Raw genomic sequence first — 24,839 nt, forward strand, 5'->3', positions numbered from 1 at the left:
CCAGGTTCAAGTGATTCTCCTGCCTCAGCCTCCCCAGTAGCTGGGATTATAGGCATGCACCACCATGCCTGGCTAATTTTGTATTTTTAGTAGAGACGGGGTTTCTTCATGTTGGTCAGGCTGGTCTTGATCTCCTGACCTCAGGTGATCAGCCTGCCTCAGCCTCCCAAAGGGCTGGGATTACAGGCGTGAGCTAACACTCCCGGCTGCATTTGAACTCTTTATTCTAATGTCTAAATAGGACTCACTATTTAGGGTACTCACTGTGTGATCTTTTTTATTATTATTACTTCATAGAGACAAGGTCTTGCTCTGTTGCCCATTCTGGAGTGTAGTAGTGTGATTGTAACTCATTGCAACTTTCAACTCCTGGCCTCAAGCGATCCTCCCACCTTAGCCTCCCAAAGTGTTGAGATAACAGGTGTGACGCACTGCACCCAGCCTCACTGTGTGATCTTGAATAAGTTACTGAGCCTAGTTTCTCTGCCTGCCAGATGAGACTTTTACTAGTAACAACCTTATGAATTTGCTTTGATTATTCAGTATGGATAATGTATGGATGATGCTTAGTACAATGCCTGGGATATAATAGCAAATGTTCAATATAGTTTGGAACTATAGGCAGAGAGAAGTGTTATTATGAGAAAACTGAGGCAGTGATAGGGTTGGGGCATTGGCCTAATATTACATAGCTGACATGTACTTTCACATAAGAGCCTGTCTTTTGTGTGAGAACTGACTCTGTAAGTGTCTCTACTGTTATGAAGGCAGGAACCTACTTAGGTACTAGGCTATGTGAAAGAAGCTGGTGATTAGTTGAATCTAAAGTTGGTGATGCACTCACATTGCCAACTACACACAGTCATAAAATCCATTAGCCTATTTTAGACGGCTTACTGCTTACCTTGGCCTCAGCTACCTTACTGCTTACCTTGGCCTCAGCTACCTTGGCCTCAGCTACTGCTTACCTTGGCCTCAGGATATTTAAAGACTAAGATTGTTTCAGTTTGTTTAAAAAATTACACACACACACTTGCGCTCACACACACACACACACACACACACACACAGTGGGAGAGTATTTTTGCCAAAACGTATGAAATAATTTTCTCCTCTTCACAGATATTGAAATGGTGATTTGTTTTATACATATTCCACACAAGGTATATATATGTAAGGGATAATTTTTTTGTGGTGAAATTTAAGTAACGGAAATAACATCCACTATTATTTGGGTAAAAATTACAAAAGCACTTCATAGAGACTTTTTTCCTTAGTGTATGAACCACATTTATCAGGTGGTACAATAGCTGAATTAAGTTGAAATTGTTCTAAAATATGCTTGAGATTTTCGTCTTTCTTCAAGTTGTCCTGAATAGGTAGACAGATACCTGAAAATAGGAATAAAACCTAAACCTCTACTTTAAAATGAGGATATTTTACCTTTAAATGTCTATTTCACTTGATGAATATTTAACCTTTTTGTTAGTTGACCTATCTAAAATCTTAAGTTACTTGAAAAATATATTTTCTTGTCTGTGGCTTCTTAAATGGTGCACATGTGGTTAGCAAGCAACAGCTATTGGCTTGCCAAAGCTAAAAGTTAAAATATAAGATGATAAAGTTGATGTAATATGTGACCTTTTATAAGTCACTTTCCCATTTGAAATTAAATGTGCCAGATTTGACAAACTTAATATATTGAATAGGTTACCCTAATATTTTTGTTGACTTTTAGCAAGAACACTATAAAGCAACTATAAAGTGTTATTTATTTTAGCTTTTCTAAATAAAAATCACTGAAGCAATTTTAATTTGTACATATAACTCTTCCTTAAAATTTAAATACCTGTTTTACTTCATGTGCTTCCATGCCTTATTTCATTAAATTTTCAAACACGTATAGAAAGCCACATCTACAAGCTATCAGATTTCCCTGAGATTACTATATTAAAACATACACTGAATCAGACTCCATTTCTTCCAACGCTGATTCAGCACTTTAAAAATAATCTTTGATTTTATATTAAAATAACTTATCACCCTTTACTGCATGATATCAGAATGACACTAGTTATTTCACTACAAAAAAATGTCAGTGATCAAATCTTGCTGGTCCACAAATAACTCTCCACTTGCTAATTTGCATTTTAGCATCAACTGTAAATATGTAGATAAAAGAACTGACAGTTGACAGCTAGGTATAACTTATATATATTTCATACAGTAACTCAATAATACCAGATTAATATTTAAAAACATTAGTAGGCCGGGCATGGTGGCTCATGCCGGTAATCCCGGCACTTTGGGAGGCCGAGGTGGGTGGATTACTTGAGGTCAGGAGTTCGAGACCAGCCTGGCCAACATGGTGAAACCCCATCTCTACTAAAAATTAAAAAAAAAAAAAAATTAGCAGGACTTGGTAATGCGTGCCTGTAATCCCAATTACTCGGGAGGCTGTGGCAGGAGAATCGCTTGAACCCGGGAGGCGGAGCTTGCAGTGAGCTGAGATCCCGCCACTGCACTCCAGGCTGGGTGACAGAGCGAGACTCCATCTAAAAAAAAAAAAAAAAAAGAAAGAAAACAAACAATGAAAGACATTAACAGGAGTATGGCAGAATAAAGAAATGTCAAAATATCATCCTTTAATCTTTAATGTTATAATTTGTGTTTGAATTATGAAGGATATATTGAATAATAACAAATAGAAGTATTTCAGGAAGCATAGAGGTGCTGTTTAAACACAATATGAAAGTAATGAGAATCATTTTCCAACACGGCATTGGATCCAGTCTCATGACAGTGTAAAGAAACTGTGGGAAAAGTGCTCTGTATTTTCCAGGTGAACCTGGTTGCCCATCTCTTGCAACCAGCTACAGAAGGTCAGCCAGTAGCACTGGATTTCCATGGTCACTCATTTCTCCATTCTACTTGTAGTCTGTGTAGTGAGAGGAAAACAAATGTGTCCCAAAAACTTGGTTTCACATGAGAAGTTCTTCAAATAATTTTCACCTTTAGAAAAAAAATTTATGGAGCATGATGATAGTCAGGAGGGAAGAATGGCAGTTTGGAAGGTAAGGCAAGAAGAATAATCTTGAGAGTTTCTAATGAGAAAAATAATGGAAAAGGGTAAAAAAAAAATAGAGCAGCTATGTTAAAGTATAATATTATAATTATTGAATAGAACTCAATAATATATAATTCTGAGCACTCTTTTTTTCTTCTGACTTTATCATACAATTTTATCTTTAGCCTACCTTTACCTTAATTTGTATATTCTTAGCCTTAGGTTATTGAATAGATTTTTATAAACCATTTGTTTTAGTCAGCTTTTGCTTAGTAAAAATACAATAATATACAATCCCCAAATATCAGTGCCTTTTAACAGCATTGATTTACTTCTCTCTCATTTTACATGTGGCAGCTCTCTATGGTTCTGTGTATCTTCTTCATTCTTGAGTCCAGAATAAATAAATAACTTCTCTCTGGGGCAAGGCATAGGGAAAAGAGCAATGGCAGAAACATGCAATAGATTTTTAAAATTGTATTTGAGTATAATTTGAAAAAATAATATAATTTACCCTACCAACAAAATCCATTCTGGAATAAGATGTCATATAGTAACATAAAATTTATATTAATGTATGTAAAAGAATAATATTAAGGTTGAAACTTAAAGAACCATTTAGTGTCTTAGTCAATTTTGTGTTGCTATAAAGGAATCCCTGAGAGTGGATAATTTATAAAGAAAAGAGGTTTATTTCGCTCATGGTTCTGCAGGTTGTACAAGAAGCATGGAGCCAGCATCTGCTCCTGGTTAGGGCCTCAGGAAGCATCCACTCATGGTAGAAGGTGCAAGGGAGCAAACATAATATGGTGAGAGAGAAGGAAAGAGAGATGGGAGGGAGGTGCCAGACTTTTTTAAACAACCAGATCTCACAGGAACTAGGACTAGAATTCACTCCATCCTGGGAGCATTCTCCAAGCCATTTATGAGGAATCCACTCCCATGACCCAAACACCTCTCACTAGGCCACACCTCTAATATTGGAGATCAATTTTCAAGATGAGATTTGACGGGGACAAATACCCAAACTATATGAAATGGTTAGCATCATTTTCACTTATTAAAATTTTATCAAACATCTACGATACAGATGATACCAGGAAGAAGCAAAGATGAATAAATACCTGTACTCTACATTTAAAATTCTCTGGATTCAGTGAGGAATATAGCAAAATATATAAAACCAATATAGATGCATCCACTGATGAGTGCTTTCTTGAGGATTAAAAGAGGTGCTAATAAGCAGAAACTGTGAATGAAACTGTCAACCACTGATACCTAGAAACCTTAGGATAGTTTCTGTGTAAGAATCTGTTAAATTATCTCAGTCCATTCAGACTATTATAGCAAAATACTCTAAATTGGATAGCTTATGAAGAAAGGCAATTTATTGCTCACAGTCCTGGAGGCTGAGAAGTCCAAGATCAAGTCACCATCAGATTCAGTGTGTGGTGAGGGCTCGTTCTCTGCTTCACAGAGGGCACCATCTTGCTGAGTCCTCACATGGTGGAAGGGCTTCATCAGCCTCTTTTATAAGGGCACTAATTCCATCGATGAAGGTGTAGCCTTTATGACCTAATTACCTGCTAAACACCCCATCTCTTAATACTGTTACATTGGTGATTAGGTTTCAACATATGAGTTTTGAGAGGACACAGTCAGACCATAGCAGATGAGGATAATAATAAAGATATTAATAGTAATAATAACTATCTGTCTTATGCATTTACTATATATCAAGTACTTTAGAAACCTCATTGTACTCTCACAATGAATTTTTGACATAAATTCAATTATTATTCTCATTGTACAGATGAGAATATAAAGGCACAGACACATATTGAAAGACTATTTATAAAGCTTGTAGTACCTGAGTGGATTAATGGTGTTTATATTCAGTTTGTAAAACAAAACTATTATGAGATTATATATATATATATATGAATGAAAAGTTTCCATGCCTGTTTTCTTGCAATATTGATTGTGAATGTTACCGCAGCCTAAGCTCATAAAGCATTTTCTTAACAGAAGCAATCACAGGCTATTTGCAAAGCCATCTCAATAAAACTTACAAACATGAGTCCTAAGGGTAGAATCAATTGGTGAGATGCTACATTTCTTTGTTTGAATTATTGGGGAAAATAAAACAGTATGAACCATTGATGGTGTTTTGAAAAATATTTTTACACTCTATTACTTTTATTCTTACCCTTAATATGTAGTTCTATCATTATTTTCCATAGAATTAATCTCCACTCTTACATATATTCTTTATGTAAATGAGAAATAAAATTTCAAAGGGGAAAAATGTAAGTAGCCAAAAATTTCTACATAATGCTTTATTAATGAGCAAAATTGGGGCATTTTATCTTCTGGGTGAGAAATGTAATATTCAGGAAAAGTGTGGTATAATTAATCATAGTTTATGTATTTATTACTCTAGGGTTCTTTTTGTAAATGTTCCATAGTTCTTTAGCAGTGAACTCTTCTCTAAGTTGCAAACAGTACACCTCTATTGTCAAAAAAGGACCAATTTCTTTGTTTGCAGCATATTGTCAATATCAAATATGCATGCTGAAAGACAGCAGACTATCAATAGCTAGTAAATTCACAAAACCATTGGGTGATATGCTAATATTTCACAAGACAAACAGTGAAGGGAGAATATTGTAGTAATATTTGCAAACAATATTTTCTTTAGTTTTGTATTTAAAATATGTCATTTTTTTCTTACTCTTGTGTGACTTCTTTTTCAGTCAGAACAGAAACCTTAAAATAGATAACCTTTGATTTTTATATTTATTCCATTTTTCTCTGACAGAGTATGGATGAATAGCATGAAACTAGTCAAAATTGCTAAGGGAATTAATTTATCTACAAACCTTGTTCAATCTTATTATTTAAAAATAACTTTTATTAAGATAAAAATTACTAAAAATAGATTAGACTCTTATGATGCACTTAGAAGGACAGAAGATCATTTCTCTGATAGTCTTGCCTCAAGTTACAACCTGATTCTAATAAGGAGAATGCATTAGACAAACCCAAATTGAGTTACATGCTACAAAATGGCTGACCAGTACTCTGAAAAGTTTCTAGGTCAGGAAAGAGAAAGACTGTAGAACTGTCACAGTTTGGAGGAGACTAAGAAGACATGGCAACTAATGCAATGTGGGAACAACTGGACCTTGAATCAGAAAAGAACCCTAGTGGACAAACTGGTTTTGAAATTTGAATACGTACTATAGATCAGTTCATCATATTGTATCGACGTTAATTTCCTCATTTTAATAATTGTTCTAGGGTTTGGAAAATGTTAACATTATGGCAACCTACCTGAAGGATGTGCAGTAATTATTTTCTATTCTTGCATGTTTTCTGTAAATCTAAAATTATTTCAAGATGTTAGAGAATTTTTTTTTTTTTGGAGACACAGTCTTGCTCTTGCTCTGTTGCCCAGGCTGGAGTGCAGTGGCACTATCTTGGCTCACTGCAACCTCCACCTCCCGGGTTCAAGCAATTCTTGTGCCTCAGCCTCCCAAGTAGCTGGGATTACAGATGTGTGCCACCACACCTGACTAATTTTTGTATTTTTAGTAGAGACAGGGTTTCACCATGTTGGCCAGGCTGGTCTCCTGACCTCAAGTGATCTGCCTGCCTCGACCTCCCAAAGTGCTGGGATTACAGGTGAGCCACCGCGCCTGGCCAAAATGTCAAAGAAATATTTTTAACTTCGGGAGCAAAGAAGAACTCCAATCTCTGGAATCAGAAAAAATAAAATATTATTTTTATTTGAGGTTATTTAAACCTCCCATGGAGTATATTAATATCTGCAAACTGAGTGCCTGCTACGCAAGGCTACAAGGTGCTGTATGAGACGGAAACATGGAGACAATTTATTTTTTTTATTATTTTATGATGACATTTATTAAGCTTCTAAAATTATGTAACAAAATGAAAGACATGGACAATCACACTTTTTGATATGATAAGAAAAGAGATTATTTGAATCTGGGACACAGTGTTCCAGAATTTAGAAGATCCATACAAAGTGTTGAGGAGAATCTGATTCTAATTTAGGGTTTAGGGGGAACAAAGATACAGTAGTTCCCCCTTAACCATAGTTTTGCTTTCTATGGTTTCAGTTACCTGTGGTCAGCCACAGTTCAAAAACATTAAACAGAAAATTCCAGAACCAAACGGTGCACGATTCTGAGTAGTGTGATGAAATCTCGTGCAGTCTCCCTCTGTCCTGTCCAGGACATGAATCATCCCTTTGTCCAGCAGATCCATGTTGTATATGCTACCCACCCATTTAGTCACTTAGTAGCAGGCTAGGTTATCAGATCAACTGTCATGGTATCGCATGACAGTAATCCTTATTTTACTTAGTAATTGTTCCACAGCACAAGAGTAGTGATGATGGCATATTGTTATAATTGTTCTATTTTATTATTCGTTGTTAATATCTTACTGTGCCTAATTTACAAATTAAGCCTTATCACAGGTATGTATGTATAGGAGAAAATGTATTATAGATCAGGTTTGGTGCTAACCACAGGTTCAGGCATTCACTGGGGATCTTGGAATGTATTCCCGTCAGATAAGAGGGAACTACGATATGTCGATACAACAGTGGTTGAACTATTGAGTCATGCTTGGAGCTCTTGAGTATGAATATCAGGAAATAAGCCTGGAATTAATCCAATTGTGGCCAATTTTTAATGCCATATTAGGGCACTTAACCTTCATTGTGTAGTCAGTCTTAAGTGATCAAATAAACCACACAATTGGTTCTATGGTTCACAAAGTTAATGGCGATATCAAGTGAAAATTGGAGTGAGGCAAGATGGGTTTCCAGGAGACCAGAGAGGCAACAAGGGCTATATACCTTAAGAGCAATTTACAAAAGATTAAAGGAGGGCAGTGGCAATGGGGATGAGAACAAATAAAAAATAGCAAAAAATAATATATTGAACTTATTGTAATTATGTCAAGCTACTGTTATCTTTAAAGGTAGGAAAATAAAGATCTTGGCTGGGTGCGGTGGCTCACACTTGTAATCCCAGCACTTTGGGAGGCCGAGGCAGGTGGATCACCTGAGGTCAGGAGTTCGAGACCAACCTGGCCGACATGGTGAAACCCCAACTCTACTAAAAATACAGTAATTAGCTGGGTGTGATGGTGGGTGCCTGTAATCCCAGCTACTTGGGAGGCTGAGGCAGGAGAATCGCTTGAACCTGAGAGACAGAGATTGCAGTGAGCCGAGATCACACCATTGCATTCCAGCCTGGGCGACAAGAATGAAACTCAGTCTCAAAAAAAAAAAAAAAAAAAAAAGGAAAGATCTGAATAAATAATCTCCTTTCCTTAATATAAATTTTAATGATTACAATTACAACTAATTGATGAGACTGGCCAGAGGAGTAAGGCATGTTGATCTTCTTTTTTTTTTTTTTGAGATGGAGTCTTGCTCTGTTGCCCAGGCTGGAGTGCAGTGGTTCAATCTCAGCTCACTTCAACCTCCGCCTCCCGGGTTCAAGGAATTCTCCTGCCTCAGCCTCCTGAGGAGCTGGGATTACAGGCGCGCACCACCATGCCTGGCTTATTTTTTTGTATTTTTAGTAGAGACAGGGTTTCACTATGTTCACCAGGCTAGTCTTGAACTCCTGACTTCAAGTGATCTGCCCGCCTTGACCTCCTAAAGTGCTGGGATTACAGGCATGAGCCACCATGCCCGGCCTGATCTTATTTTTAAAGAGTGTAAATGTAATCTAATTATAAATTTAAACTTTAGAGAGAATGTTGAGAGATACGGACATAATAATAAAAAAAACCTGAGCCGGATAATTGTGCTTGTCTGAAATGAGCTAATGAAATAATTTTGTTCATATCCTTTGGGGGTATTTCTGAAAATCAGTAAAGACTATGCACAGCCATTTTATGTTTTTACAATAGTGCCATTAATGATGCCTTATGAGTGAAGAAAGTTGGATGATTGGGTGTAAAAGATGTAAGGTTAATGGGAAAACTTCCCTAGTCCACAAATCATCTTATTATCCAGTCTGTAATTCTTTGTTCCATGCCAAAAATCTATATTTCGTCAAGTAATAATAGATGCTTTCAGGCAAACAGCCTTATATGTTGAAATGCAAATGATTACTTTTACCCCGTCTCCTATGCTTCTCCTTAAACACTGAAGTGAGTCAGAAGAAAGAACTCTTACCCTTTCTATTTACACTCACTGCTTTGGTGGTATCACTGAATCTCATGGCTTTAAATACCATTTGTCTTCTGATGATTACCAAATACTAATCTCCAGCTCAGACCTTTCTCTCCAACACGAGACAGGCCACTGGACTTTCAATAGGTAGCTCAACCTCATCCTCACGTGGTGGAAAGCTCTGGATTGTCCCCCAAAACTATTTATCTCATCATTCTTTTCCCATCTCAGTTAATTGCATCGTCATTCTTCTAGTTACTCGGCACAAAAACTTTAATGTAATTCTTGACTCATATCTCTCTCACCCATCATTTGATTCATCAGAAAATCCTATTGTCTGTACCTTCAAATCATTTCCAAAATCTGACCACTTCTCACCAGCTCCAACGCTAGCATCCTGGTCAGAGCCACATTTCACTTTGCTTATTGCAAGAGCACCCTAACTGACTTCCAACTTCTGCCTTGCTTCCCATCAATTCACTCTTAACTCTGCTGCTGGAGTAATTCTGTTAAAACAGAGATTAGTATGTGTCACTTATTTGCTCAAAAACCTCCAAAGACCTCTACTTTCACTGTGAGAAAAGGCCAGAATACAAAATTACAAGGGTCCGTAAGGCCCCAGAAAGACTTGACCTGGCCTGACCTCATCTACCGCTACCTTTCCCTCTTGCTCACTCTTGCTTATTTTCAGCAACACAAGGCTTCTTCCCTTTTCACAATCACTGCAGGAACACTCCTGCCTCTGAGACTCAGACCTTGCTCTTTCCTCTAGCTGAACTGCTCTTCCAAATGCCTTTTTTGTTCACTCCTTCACCTTCTTCAGGTCTTGACTTGAAACACCCTATAAATAGGGCATTTCCAGGCCACTCTAAAATTGCAAACTTACCTCCATTCCTTGCACCCTTTCCCTCCTTACAGCTGTTATCACCATGTAATTTACTATAGTTTTTGCTTACTTGTTTTTTATCTCTTACGCAACCATCCCATTAGAAAGTAAACTCTATTAAGGCAAGAATTTTTGTTTTTTCAGGACTCTACACTAAATCTCATAATTATAAGACAATATTTGGTGACTAATTTTAATAGGAAATATTGCCTAGAGTAAGTCCAGATTTTCTTCTTAATTTAATCATTAGGCAAAATATTTTGAGCACCTTTTATGTACTTGATTAGAACATAAGGGCATAATGCATTTTAGGATGTCTGAGATTATTGGGGAGTAGGCATGAAAACAAGTATTAATGGTCCATTGTTACAAGAAAAAGAGTGAAATCTGGGCTGATGCTCTCTAGTTTGAGCAGGAAAATATCTCATAGCCTCTAACCTTACTTAAATTCTGCCAGCTCTGGCCTGTAGAAGCAGTGAGGCAAAATGACCCACTGGAAGAAGCTACTTCTTTTGCAGAAGCAACCTAACTCTGAGAAGAAAAAAATTAAGCCTATCATCTTCAGTTCTACTTGAGATCTTAATTATAAAATAAACTCAGATTTCTATTTCCAGTTCAGATGGTTTGGTATAAGATGGGCCATAATCCCTGAAAAGTGGCAATTCCAAGGAAGTTTGGCACAAGTCTTAATATGCTTATTCAGGCTGAAGTTCCAGCAGTTCCTTCCCATAAGCAGACCTGCTAGAGTGTGGAAGACACATAATGTAAATACGTTAGGAGCAATTGTTGTTTCTTTCATTTTCTTCTGAATCAGTCCACAGCCCAAGGATTCTGTGAAGTAACAAAATTGGCTGTTACAGATTATAGCCACATTCCCATCTTAATAGCAGCAGTTGAAATTTCTTGGGCATTTCAAGGTAGAGATTTATGTTTTATTTGCAGTTCATGATTATTCTGATTCAAATATCTGTAAATATAAAGGGAGGGGGAGAATGCTAACACAAAAAATATTGTACCCAGTTAAACTTTATGTCTGTATTAATAAAGCAGTCTTTGATTTAGAATTCTTAGTCCCTTTCTTTTAGAGGATTGAGGTTAGGGTATGTGGGTTTGTGTATGTTTTGTCACCAAGGTTGGGGTGATATTACCACAGTGACCAGAACTATAACCAAATTCCCATTTATACTAGTGATGGTTGTATCCTGTCTACCAGAGAGGGGAAAAATGCTTTGACAAATTCATCATTGTTATGTTTTCTTGCCACAGTTTATTCTCTTCTGCATTCTGTGGAAGTTCTTTTGGCCCTGTGGCTTCCTCAATCATAAGCTACCACATACAAAGACTATTTTTTCAAAGAAGCCAATTAGTTTTTTACTAATCATACGAACTTAGAAAAATAGATATTAAATATTACTGATAAATAACACAGCCTTGTCAGAAATCTCTCAAAGTGTGTGATCATTGTCTATAGAGTAGAACTTTTTAGGGGCAATACAGTACTGTTTTTATATTCAATGAAGATAAGTTAGATTAAAAATGTAAGATATCTTTTTGTGAATTGCCACATGGTAGAATTTTGTAAGAGGTTTTTATAATGCTATTCAATTACTTCTCCATGGAAGAATTTTGCTCACAGAGAAAGAGAGACAGTGTGTGTGTATACACAAACATATATAAATGTACATATATCTGCATGCATTATATATGCATATATTGTATGTGTATGTAAAGTATGTATAGACATACAAATACAGTCATATATACATACATATATAGTCTATACATAATAGCTATATGTGATATACTCTCTAGATGTTATAAAAGCTTTTCAAATTTCAACTTATTGGATTTGTTTTGGTGAGTGTTCAGGTTTATTGGTGGAAGAATTATGAGTTTATAAATCACTGATTAGTCCTCTATTCTCACAAGAGTAAAAGAATATTTTAATGATACATAGTCACCAAGGGATTGCACATTTTCAAATGAACTCACTGTTACTGCCCCTGTTGTCAAGATGGTATCTCCCTCTTTCTCCTCGGCAAAAACACCATGAATCAATTTATTTAGAGTGAAAACAAACGTCAATCATTAGGTGAAGATGCTTTTTCTCAATATCTAAATGGTTTAAAATTGAATTTCTCACGTAACTGCCCATTTAAAGACTCAAACATGGTTCTTTGTTTTTGAGGAATATTCTTTATAAAGTCTCTGAAAACACTTTTACTCTCTTAGCAAGATACCTTCTTTACTTGGCAACAAAAACCACATTGAAACAATCGTATTCCCTTTTGTCAGCCTGAGCCAGCTGAAATCTTTGGAGTTATCAACCTCTGCCAACAACTTGAAGTAGCGGTTGCACAATGGATAACTGAGATGTAGTTTATTCCAAGCTAATGATTTTCTGAAGCTTTCGGGATGGTTATATTTATACTGACAGATACAGACCTAACTTTCCCATAAAAAGAACAGACTGTGTTCAACGTACCCAGATAATACCAGCCTCTTTTTTGTATAATCCTTTAATTTCAGATGCTTATAGCTGCTTCAGTCCTGTCAATACCAGCACTCTGAAGTCTTGCCCTGCTTGATAATCATTTGTCTCTGTAATTTCTTTATCATTGCTTTACTTAGGGACAACACAAATAATCTATTTAGACCAGAAGAGACCAACTTTCTTTCTTCTTTATGATCAAAATATTTTGTAGACTCCCTACAAAATAATTATGATAATTGTAGTAGCCATTGGGTAAGAAATGCATAATGACAAAAATCTAGTTTTAATTCAGTCGTGCTAAGCATATACTCTGCTTTATTACATCAGCTACATATGTTTAAAAATACTAATATATATTATTTATCTAGTCTGCATTTGGACTTGCCTAATCCTTTCAACTAGAATGCCCTCTCAAAGATCCGTATCTTGAAGCACGAGAACCAATAGTTTGAAACAACTGATATAAAGTGGATAACATCAGGTGTCCAATGACCTACCACATTTGACACTGAAAATATTTTCCAAAGAAATACAGAGTATGAAAATAAGAAAGAACTACTCTATCACTCATTGTCCCATCGTCTGATGGCCCTGTTGACTCATTGTACACCAAGGGCCTTTTGAAGTAGGGAAATACATGTGACCAATAGAGATAGAACAATAAGACAATTTCAGATTTGAAAGAAACCTGAGCAACCACGGAGCCCAACCCTCTCTTTTTCTCCAGTAATCCAAAGAGGTCAAGTAGCTTGTTAAGGGCACCCAAGAAGTTGATGGCAAAGCCAGGCCTAAACCTGGATTATACAAACTTGAAACTATCTTGAAATGTAGTAAGCACTATCGCAGTGTTGGGTAATACCCTTACACTCAATCCCAGAAGATTGAGTTCAGAAGATGAAGATGTGGAGGCTGAAATTATAACCCTGGGGATTCGTTGATTGTGATGTACTTTATGCAGGTTTAGAGGCAAAAACACATGGCTTGGCATCAGAAGTGGAAAGGAAAGTAGAGTGTTGTAGAATGAGTGCTGGATTTGAGGTCAGAAGACCTCTTTTAATTCCCGGTACTGTCACCGATTAGATGTGACCTATGGCATAACCCTTAAATATCCTTGACCTCCTCTGTTTCCTTTTATGTTAAAATGGGAATAATAATGCATGCTTTGACCATCATTTAGAAAGGTTGAGAGAATCAAAATCAGTATCAGAAAATGCTTTTTTAATCTGTGCAGAGCTTGAGGTAACAAAGCAGTATACCTCAATAAATATCGTTGCATTCCTCTATGCCAGGCTTCGTGCAAGGCACTGGGAATAGAGCACTGAATAAAATAGAAATGATCATAGTTTAAGGAATTTTCATTCTAGAAAATAATTACTTAAATGTGGCTCTATGTAACTTACCAGGAGCTTTCTTATCCGTTGTTCCTCTTGAGCTTTGCAACAGTACTAGGCAGACAGGATAGATAAGTAATGATAATAACAAAACAACAATAATAGCAGCAGCAGCAGCAGCTAACATTTCTATTATTTCAATGTAAAAAAAGAATTTCAGATTGTTTAAATACAGAAATGTGGTGGAGTAGAAAGAAGGCCAAGATGGGGACAAGGGGAACCATGACCCCAAAAGCAAATAAAGCATCTGAGCATTCCTTTCTGTTTGGTTATGAACATCTGAGGGTACATAATCATAATGAGCTCCTTTCAGTAAATACAAGATGGGTGTTTCCATCTTGATATTATAAATTAAGAAACAAGGCTGGGCGCGGTGGCTCACTCCTGTAATCCCAGCACTTTGGGAGGCTGAGGAGGGCAGATCACGAGGTCAGGAGTTTGAGACCAGCCTGACCAACATGGTGAAACCCCGTCTCTACTAAAAATACAAAACTTAGCTGGGCGTGTTGGTGCATGCCTGTAATCCCAGCTACTCAGGAGGCCGAGGCAGGAGAATCGCTTGAAACCGGGAGGCGGAGGTTGCAGTGAGCTGAGATCGTGCCACTGCACTCTAGCCTGGGTGACAGAGCAAGACTCCATCTCAAAAAAAAAAAAAAAGAAAAAAAAAGAAACAAAAGCACAATATGATCGTGTGACCTGCCCTAGATGCTAAACCTAATGAGCAGAGAAGCAAGCAAAGATTGATTCCAGGATTTCCTGGCTCCAAAGCCTAGGTTATCTCCATTGTATCAGGCTCCTTCCACCACATCTGGATGTTGACTACATCCAGAACATGAAACAAAAGCTTCAGTGCTAAAAACAAACAAACAAACAAGCAAACCAAACTATCACATTAAGAAGCAAGTCACCAACTGATCATTTTCTGATTTTGCTGTTTCCATGGATGGTTCCAAAATCCTACCTAACTCATCAAGCTTAAATCAAAGTTGACTCATCCTTACTTGTCATCCCATGTAAAATAAGTTGCCAATTCCTATCTGTTTCACTTTCAAAATGTTTTTAATCCTGCTGCTTCTGTGTAGTTTTGAACTGGATAGTTCTAATAATTGTTGCCAAAGTTCCATACTAGCATCTCTGGCTTGGACTCCTTACATGCTGAATCCAACTCTCTTAGTTTGCATCCCCTCACTGGCAGATCCTGAGACAAGGCTTTAAGTGCTGGTAGTTTATTTGGAGCATGACCCCCCAAACACAACAGTCTGGGAATGAAGTGAGATGGGAAAAGGAAGCTGACCAATAAAAGGTGTGTTATCAAGAAAGTTACAACTGTACATAGCTGGAACTTAGTCCTAACAGAGAACCCTAGGAAACAGGATAGAGCATCTGACTTGGAGTTATTCTAACTGAGGATCAAAAGAGCATCATTTATAGACTGGTTCCCATTGGTTATTGGTTTAGGCTACCCCCAAGAACTTTTTGGTGTTGAACTCTTCCTGCGTGTAGTGCAAGTGAGAAGAGAATGCTTCTGCAGCCAGGGAAATCCCTCAGATGAAAGGACTTAGATATGAAAGTTGGAAGTCAGAGTTCAGAGAAAAGATACTGGCCAGGGGAGTTTATCTGGGTCACTGTATTTGCTCTGCCAGCCTATATATTATTTCTAAATTAATCTTCTTAGTGTACATCTGTATTAGTCCATTTTCATGCTGCTATGAAGAAATACCCAAGATTGGTTAATTTATAAAGAAAAAGAGGTTTGATGGACTCACAGTTCCACATGGCTGGGGAGGCCTCACAATCATGGCGGAAGGCAAAAGAGGAGCAAAGTCACGTCTTACATGGTGGCAGGCAGGAGAGCATGTGCAGGGGAACTGCCCTTTATAAAGCCACCAGATCTCATGAGACTTATTCACTATCATGAGACCAACATGGGATTAAACCCATCCCCATGATTCAACTACCTCCCACCAGGCCCCTCCCATGCATAACATGGGATTATGGAAACTACAATTAAAGATGAGATTTGAGTGGGGACACAGCCAAACCATATCAACATCTTTGCTGGAGAAAGCTACTCTAGCTATTAGGCTACTCAGAGTATGCCTTGTGACTTTCATCCTTCATGCCTTTCTCATATTGTCTCCTTTTCTTGATTATTGTTTTCAGTCTTACCCTACTCCCCGTCCCACATAGTCAAATGTTACCTATTTATGAAGACTCACACTGTGGGCATTTGTGATTACATATTATTTTTAATTACATTATAACTTGATGTAATCCACTAGCACAGTGTTCTAAATATAATAGAGGCCTAATGGATGTTTTTGGACTCATTGTCTGACAACATAACAACTTGTGATTGTCTGAAAATGTAACAACTTGTGATTGTCTGAAAATGTAACAGCCTGTGAACTCTTCGTTGTTCAAAGAAAACAGAAAAATTCCAAATATGTAACTCTTTGAAATTATGTCAATGTAGATTTGTTTCAAATGTTAATATATAGTAACCAGGGAATAATAGCAATGAATTTGTTCAGTTACGATATTTGGTACTTCCAAATAGCTTCCCATGATGAGGATAAGATAACTAATAATTCTTACAGTAAAATATTCTTTGATTGGGTTGTTTCCTATTGCTGCTATAATAAATTAACATAAACTTAGTGGCTTAAACAACCCAAATTTATTATCTTACAGTTCTGGAAGTCAGAATTCCAAAATGGATTTTACTAAGCTAAAGTTAAGGTGTCATCATGGCTGCATTCTTTTCTGGAGACTCTGGGAGAGAATCTGTTTTCTTGCCTTCTTTGGCTTCTAGAGACTGTCTACATTTCTTATCTCTTGGCCCTCTTCCATCGTCAAAGCTAGCAGTAGCCAGTTGAATCTCACAGAGCATCCCTTTGACATTAACTCTTCTGCCTCCTTTTCTCATATTTAATACCCTTGCGATTACACTGGGCTCATCTGGATAACCCTGGCTTATCTCTGTATCATAAAGTCAGCTAACTAGTAGTCCTAATTATATCTGCTACGTTAACTCCCCTTTGCCTTATAAGGTAATATATTCGCAGGTTCAGGAGATTAGGACACAGATGTCTTTGGGAGGCCATTATTCTGCCTACCACAATTGATATGTCCCACTCTTCCCTCCTAATTTAATAAGACAATCCTATACTGGTTTACCCTTATCTCGTAAAATATTCAAGATGTAGTACAGATGTTCTTGATGCTAGATGTTGAATTATGATTTTAACAAATGGAGGCTTGTGTCTCATAATGTATATTTCGTTTTGAAATAGAAAAGTTGACTTAGAAAATTAGACTTCCATGTGTACACATAATAGTTCTGCTACTTGAGATCCAGCGATTAGCCTACTTCTAGCATTTTCAAAATAAACTTGTCATTTGTGTCATTATCATAGCTGATTAGAAAGTAAATTATTTGTATTGACCACATTGAGAAAATTACCATTTAGCTTATGGAACTCTTTGTCATAGAGTGTGGATATTATATTTGTACTTGATTCTAATAGTGGTTAGGGACATTAGAAGGATATGGAGCTCATCATTCAACTAAGTCCTTACAAAATAATTCAATCTCTGTTTTAGAAGTTTATCATAATATTAGTACATAAACTGAACACAAGAAGGAATTTATACCATAGAAAAATTAGAGAGAAAACTTAGAAACCATCTCCTACGAGCTCTTTGCTTTTCTTGCGAAGTGGCTGCTATCAACAGAAAGAGCCGTTGTTAGGCTTTGCATGTTCTGGAGTGACATCTATTAGAGAAGGTTTATCATCTTTGACCACTTTGCACTTCCTCTCCCAACAAAGCCTTACAAGCATGTGTTTCCTAGAGTGGCCACTTGGATCTTCATCTTCCAGTAATGTTCATGATTTGGGTATTCCTAGTTCTCTCTATCCAAAATGGCCAGTTGGTATCTTCTTAACCCAGTTGTGCATTTTAAAATATTTTGTGGGCCAGGTGCGGTGGTTCACTCCTGTAATCCCAGCACTTTGGGAGGCCGAGGCGGGTGGATCACCTGAGATCAGGAGTTCGAGACCAGCCTGGCCAACATGGTGAAACCTGGTCTCTACTAACAATAAAAAAATTAGCTGGGCATGGTGGCGCATGCCTGTAATCCCAGTTACTCAGGAGGCTGAGGCAAGAGAATCACCTGAACCCAGGAGGCGGAGGTTGCAGTGAGCCAAGATCATGCCATTGCACTCCAGCCTGAGTGACAGAGTGAGACTGTCTCAAAAAAAAAAAAATTGTGGAGTCCAAACTGTTACTAGTTAATCTGGAAAATTAATCTATAAAAAGTTCCTAATAATTTATACTATTTTTTCTTCCTGTCACAATATAAAAAATAAACATTACCTGTTGTAATCTGAATATGTGATTGTAAAATGATTAAGCCCGATTTTTCAACCAAAGAGATTATGACTTAAAGTGTTTATTATGAAGTTCGTGGTAAATGAAGAACCAGAATGTATAAAGGTGATTCAGCTATAAATAAAATTTAATTTTGTGTTAATAAAAGTAAAATTAGGGAATTATGAAAAGATATTTTCAAATACAAAGATGCATTTAATATTCACACAATATTGATACTTAGTACCCCCATTTAACTAATTAAGAAATTAAGACTAGTAATGATTAAGTAACTTTCCCACAATTACTTAGCTGGCTAGAGTCTAACATGGTATCTTTTTCTTTCTTTCTGTCTTTTTTTTTTTTTTCTTGAGACAGAGTTTCGCTCTTGTTGCCCAGGCTGGATTGCAATGGCATGATCTTGGCTCACTGCAACCTCCGCCTCCTGGGCTCAAGTGATTCTCCTGCCTCAGCCTCCCAAGTAGCTGGGATTACAGGCACACGCCACCACATGCCACCACGCCTGGCTAATTTTTTTAGTGGAGACGGGGTTTCATCATATTGGTCAGGCTGGTCTCAAACTCATGACCTCAGGTAATCCACCCGCCTCAGCCTCCCAAAGTGCTGGGATTACGGGCATGAGCCACCATGCCTGGTGAAACAAACGTGGTATCTTTTTCATAAGAGGAACTCAAACATTCTATTGAGTTGAAATACATTGAATGAGGCATCCTTTGTTTTTTGCACTGAATAAGCTCTGGTGAGAGCTCTATTGTTGTCTTTAAATAAGTCTATTCTTCTAGGACTGGCTAAAAGCCCACTTAAATGGGAGCCCTCAGGTACACTCATTGTCTTCATTAACTTCCTTTGTTAGAAACACCATTCATTCAACAATATATCCACCAAAAATATTCAGAAGTGGATGACCTTTCTTATGCTGATTTTTGAATTGTAGAAAATTGCGGAGATTCTTACTAAGTTTTGGGATAGAACTCTCTCTCACTGGTCTTTCCTTTAAATATAAAATAGAACCTTGAATATGGTAATTTCAAATATGCATGCTTTTAAGTGAATTGTAAGTTTCTTGCAAACAGGGATTTTGTTACAGTCTACCTTTATTCTAACAAGATAATAGTAGCTACCATTTCAGGGCGTGTATGTCATTAACTGCTTCATAACACATGATTTGACTTTTGCTTTTATATTTCTAACATTTATAAGCAGTACAATGTAATAGTCACACATAAATACTTTATAATATTTATCAATAATTAAAAATAAATTAATACAGGAATCTAATAATTTATAGTATATGAATTTAGAATTCATTATTTATATTATAATAAATATACATTTGTAATTCATTATTACATTATTTATTTATTGCATCTACCCTCTTGACACTATTTCAAAGTGTGCATAAGTATTGCACTTTGGCTTTGAGAAATCTAAACTAAGAAAAGATAAGCAAATTTTCCAAGGGCTCTTAGCTAGCATTTGACAAAGGAAAAATTCTAACCCTGGTCTGTCTGACTCCAAAGATGGATTTTATTCCTTTTTAGTGTGCTACATTGCTTGCAATTTTCCATGAGCCTAGCAAAGTGTATCCTGTTGGATTGAAGCATATTTTCGAGTGGAGATACTGTGGTAAATGAGATGGAAGGAGAAGATGGTAACTGGGACACCTACTGAGGTGTGTTCTTAGAACCAAAGACTTCGACTTAAACTCTATCATAGATCACAGTTGGTATTAGATTCACTTAGAAGAATATAAAACACAAATGAACATTATGTGTCCTTCCTCCTTGAGAATAGTCATCACACAAATCTATGTAGCAGTTCCCACAGCCATCTGGGTAGTTATCTTTAGCGATTCCTTTCCCCCATGTCTCACATCATGGAATACGAATCACATTGTGTAGGTGTAGAAATCACCTGGGCGTAAAAACCTCATTCCCCAGTAGCCAGTATCTCTTATATCAAATCTGTAGTCACAGCCCCTGAAAACATGCTCAGTTGCAAGTCATCACACTCAGGGAAGTGCAAAGATATGACATCCAGATCAGGCATCTATACTTCATTTATAGTTTCTTCTAGTTCATGTGAAACTTACCAATCAGGACTCATTTTTATCATAGCCAGTATGACCTTGTAACACATTTGACATACCACGTTTATCTGTCTTCAGGGGATCAGAACTAAAAAGTTACCAAAGATCCAATTTTAACACAGGTCGAAGGGTTTTGATAGCCTTTTACCCAAAATAATTACAGAATGGATTTCTTGAAAAGTAGTTTTGAGGATTTTGTTCTATTTTTAAGGATGGGAGGATTTGGATATGACCTCAACAGTTGGTGGCTGAGAAAGAGTGGAGAAAAAGATCCTTGGAGTTAAAGAGATAAGAGAACAGAGAGGCTAGAATGTTAGACAGAGCCCCTTTGTATATGTTGAAATAAGCAAAATGTGGACATGTGGGTAGGTGAATGGGACAGTGATCCAGGCTCTAAAACTCTTACTAAATGAGAGAAAATGACAGGGAGATCTGTAGATAACTATAGCTTTGAGGGAAGATGGGTGATGGTGGCTGATGGCACAACCTCAAATGAGTTCCTTTTATTGAAAGAAGACAATTCATTTGGAAGAAGTAATTGGGAGCAAGGGAAACACCTACTCTATCTCTAGGCCCTAATTTTTCTCATGATAATTCATTGAAGTGCTGTAAAATATCCAAACAAAGTAATTCAGTAATAAGGGAAAAAACTTAAAAATATACACACAAATTTATAAATGTCATGTGTATATATTTGTCCTCAATACAATTTCTCCTGATCAGTTGTGTGTAACTAGGATGTGTAATAAATGAACACAAGGACAAACACACTGCAGATATTTACCCTAAATATCTCAGTGTATTTTAATACATGGAATATTATTGTGCTGCTTTGTTAGTGGGGTATAATTTAGGGGGGATCTTTCTTGATAGCATAGCAGAAATTGATCTGAATCCTAAATACTCCATTTATTAGCTGTATGACTTTGGGCAAATTAGTTTACTCAGCCTCAGATTCATTTCTCAAGAAATTAGCCCACCAGTATGACTTACCTCTTAGGATTATAGTTAAGATTATATGAGATAAAGCACATGAAGATTTTAGCTCAGTGACTAGTGTAGTAAATGCTTAATAAAGCTATTATTGTCATTGTAATTACATTAAATCACATTAAAAAATTTAGTTCCCCTATTAAATCATATGAAGAGTTTAAAGAAAGTCAACGGGGTAATGTGTTCAGTTTCTTTTTTAAATAAAAAGTATGCAATATTATAATGATTAGAGTCCCATGTAGTAGAAGGAAGAGAATAAAGGACTGAAATTATAAGACTATTTGTGCCCTTGATTTTAATTTCTTACCTTGAGTCCTTTTGTTATTTAGAATGACCCCAAGGGAATCATTCCTTATTTGATTAGCAGTGCTACACTTTAAAGAGCATTACTTCCCCCTTATCTCACTCCCATTCCAAAGACCACTAGGGTATAACCGTTGCAAACATTTGTACTTTGTCTAACTACAGGAAAACATAGGAAAGGGTACCTTGCATTCCAAACTCAATTTTAAATCACTGGTAATGGTTTTGACTGGCTAATGCAATGGGAACACCTCCAATATATGTTGGCCAGTATTAATCTTAGCATAGAAAATATTCACTTTTAATTTGATGGTCATTTTTTTTCTTTTTTTGGAGGCAGAGTCTCGCTCTATCCCCCAGGCTGGAGTGCAGTGGCACGATCTCCCTCACTGCAACCTCTGCCTACCGGGTTCAAGTGATACTCAAGTCTTAGCCTCCCCTGAGTAGCTGAGATTGCAGGCACCTGCCACCATGCCTGGCTAAATTTTTATATTTTTAGTAGAGATGAGATTTTGCCATGTTGAACAGGCTGGTCTCGAACTCCTGACCTCAGGTTATCTGCCCGACTCGGCCTCCCAAAGTGCTGGGATTACAGGCGTGAGCCACCACTGCACCTGGGCTGGTGCTGATATTTAGCAATACTGCCATCTGTGGTGTTCATAGAAACAAAAAAAATCCTCCAAATACTGCTTAAAGGAGTCTCATCACACTTGACACACATCTTTTAAAAATTTGTGTTTTTCTATTGCTCTTTCATCTCAAAGAGGCCTATAGCAGAGAATGAGTAGCACGTTGCGCTGTCTTTGGGGTCCTGGATAAACAACCTCTTTCTTTTCTTTTTTCTTTTCTTTTCTCTCTCTCTCTCTCTCTCTCCCCCCCCCTCCCTCCCTCTCCCTCTCTCTCTCTCTCTCTCTTTCCTTTCTTTCTTTGTTTCTTTCCTTCCTCTTCTTTTTTTTTGAGATGGAGTTTCCCTCTTGTTGCCCAGGCTGGAGTGCAATGGCGTGATCTCGGCTCACTGCAACCTCTGCCTCTTCATTTCTTCATCTGTAACAAGAGAATAAAAATGACTTCTTCACAGATTTATATAAATAATATTTTAACTAAGTAATTCATTTTGAAATGTTTATAGAATGCCATTTACAGATAAGGTAGAAATAGAGTCCTTCCTAAAAGTCTGTTTTAGATAATTAATCACTAAAATTATAATTGGAGTTGTCATAATCAATTATGTAGCATTGTTTCAATGATGTTAACATTGCTCTTTTTCACTGGATAAATTGTTATGTGGCATGTCATCATTCTAATATTCAGTTTACATGACACTTCTTCTTTAACTCTCCTCTGCAGATATTCAATCTAGAGTTTGTGGCACAGTATACATAATTTTTGGCAGATGATAGCTAAGTGCATTGTATAAAAGATACATTATTTACCAGATCAAAGGTCAATGTGTTCATAATTTAATATGCCGAGGGTCATACAGTCCAGAAATGTCTGTGAATTTCTGAAGTGACACACATTTTTGATAGAAAACTGCCATTTTGTAATGGATAGCACATCAATTGGATAGCCCAGCATTCTTTTCAGATTTACATGTCAAGTTCATCAGTGAGGCCCTACATAAATCTACTCTAGGATTAATTTCCAGATTTCATCTTTAACTGTATCACAATTCTTTTTTTTTGAGACAAAGTTTCGCTCTTGTTGCCCAGGCTGGAGTGCAATGGCGCGATCCTCTGCCTCCCAGGTTCAAGTGATTCTCCTGCCTTAGCCTCCCGAGTAGCTGGGATTACAGGCAAGAGCCACCACATCTGGATAATTTTGTATTTTTAGGAGAGATGGGGTTTCTCCATGTTGGTCAGGCTGGTCTTGAACTCCCGACCTCAGGTGATCTGCCTACCTCAGCCTCCCAAAATGCTGGGATTATAGGTGTGAGCCACAGCACCCAGCCTCTTTTCTTCTTAAATAAGTCTTTCTCAAGGAAATTTTCACAATATTGCTCTTGGGACTCAATGTCCTTATGTGGTAGGACACTACGTTTTCTGAAAAATTGCTTATTAATCTGGTATATGTGAACTATGCAAATTATGTTTTCTATTTTAGTCTTTAGATGCAGTAGTTTTACTATTTTAGTTTTCTCAGATATATTCACAGCAAAAGTACTATCATTGTAGAGTAGTTTCACTTAGCAGTGAAAGTAACTCTGCTATGATGTGGACACTGCTTCTCATTTTTCTTAATAAATATTATGTTTGTTATTTTTATAAAATTTGTTCATTAGATATGGAGTTTTATTCCAATTTAATGATGATAGATGGGTTTTATTTTTATTTAATTTTACTGTTGTGTTCTATGAAAGTATCTTCTTTAAAATATTGTGTAAAGATGTCTTAATTTTACTAAAACGATAGTAATAATAATATAGATGATACTACTACTAATAAAACTACTATTTTCTGAATATGTACAATTGCCAAGCATGATTTATGATTTACATAGGATGCCAAATTTCCATTATATATCTTCAAATTTATATGTTCATTGGTTTGTTCATCTATGCCACAAATGTTAATGGAGTACCTACTAAGTGCCAACAACTATGCCATCAACCATGAATCAGTCACTTAACAAGATAGATATAATCCCTTCCTTCAGAAAGCTTGTAGTCTGGGAGAAAATTTAACAGTTAAACAAGACATTGAAAAAAGTGTGGGCCGGGTTGGGTGGCTCATGCCTGTCATCCCAGCACTTTGGGAGGCCAAGGCGGGTAGATCGCCTGAGGTCAGGAGTTCGAGACCAGCCTGGCCAACATGGTGAAACCCTGTCTCTACTAAAAATACAGAAATTAGCCAGGCAGGCGTGGTGGTGCATGCCTGTAATCCCAGGTACTTGGGAGGCTGAGGCAGGAGAATCGCTTGAGCCCGGGAGGCGGAGGTTGCAGTGAGCAGAGAAGATTGTACCACTGCCCTCCAGCCTGGGTGCAAAGCGAGACTCTGTC

General features: G+C 37.0%; 1 protein-coding gene across 2 annotated transcripts in view, besides 1 other annotated feature; it reads left to right on the plus strand.

Moving 5' to 3' along the window:
• IL1RAPL1 (interleukin 1 receptor accessory protein like 1) overlaps nucleotides 1–24,839 on the plus strand; it is a 1,369,273-nt gene that overhangs the window by 548,773 nt on the left and 795,661 nt on the right. The window lies entirely within an intron of this gene.
• Nucleotides 18,929–19,712: an enhancer, noted in NCBI's record as "OCT4-NANOG hESC enhancer chrX:29173264-29174047 (GRCh37/hg19 assembly coordinates)". NCBI's record gives its function as "activates a minimal SCP1, AML or CMV promoter by ChIP-STARR-seq in naive H9 embryonic stem cells {active_cell/tissue: H9 hESC(naive)}" and the evidence as "EXISTENCE:reporter gene assay evidence [ECO:0000049][PMID:30033119]".

The sequence above is a fragment of the Homo sapiens genome, chromosome X (genome assembly GCF_000001405.40).
Source record: "Homo sapiens chromosome X, GRCh38.p14 Primary Assembly".
Lineage (NCBI taxonomy): Eukaryota > Metazoa > Chordata > Mammalia > Primates > Hominidae > Homo > Homo sapiens.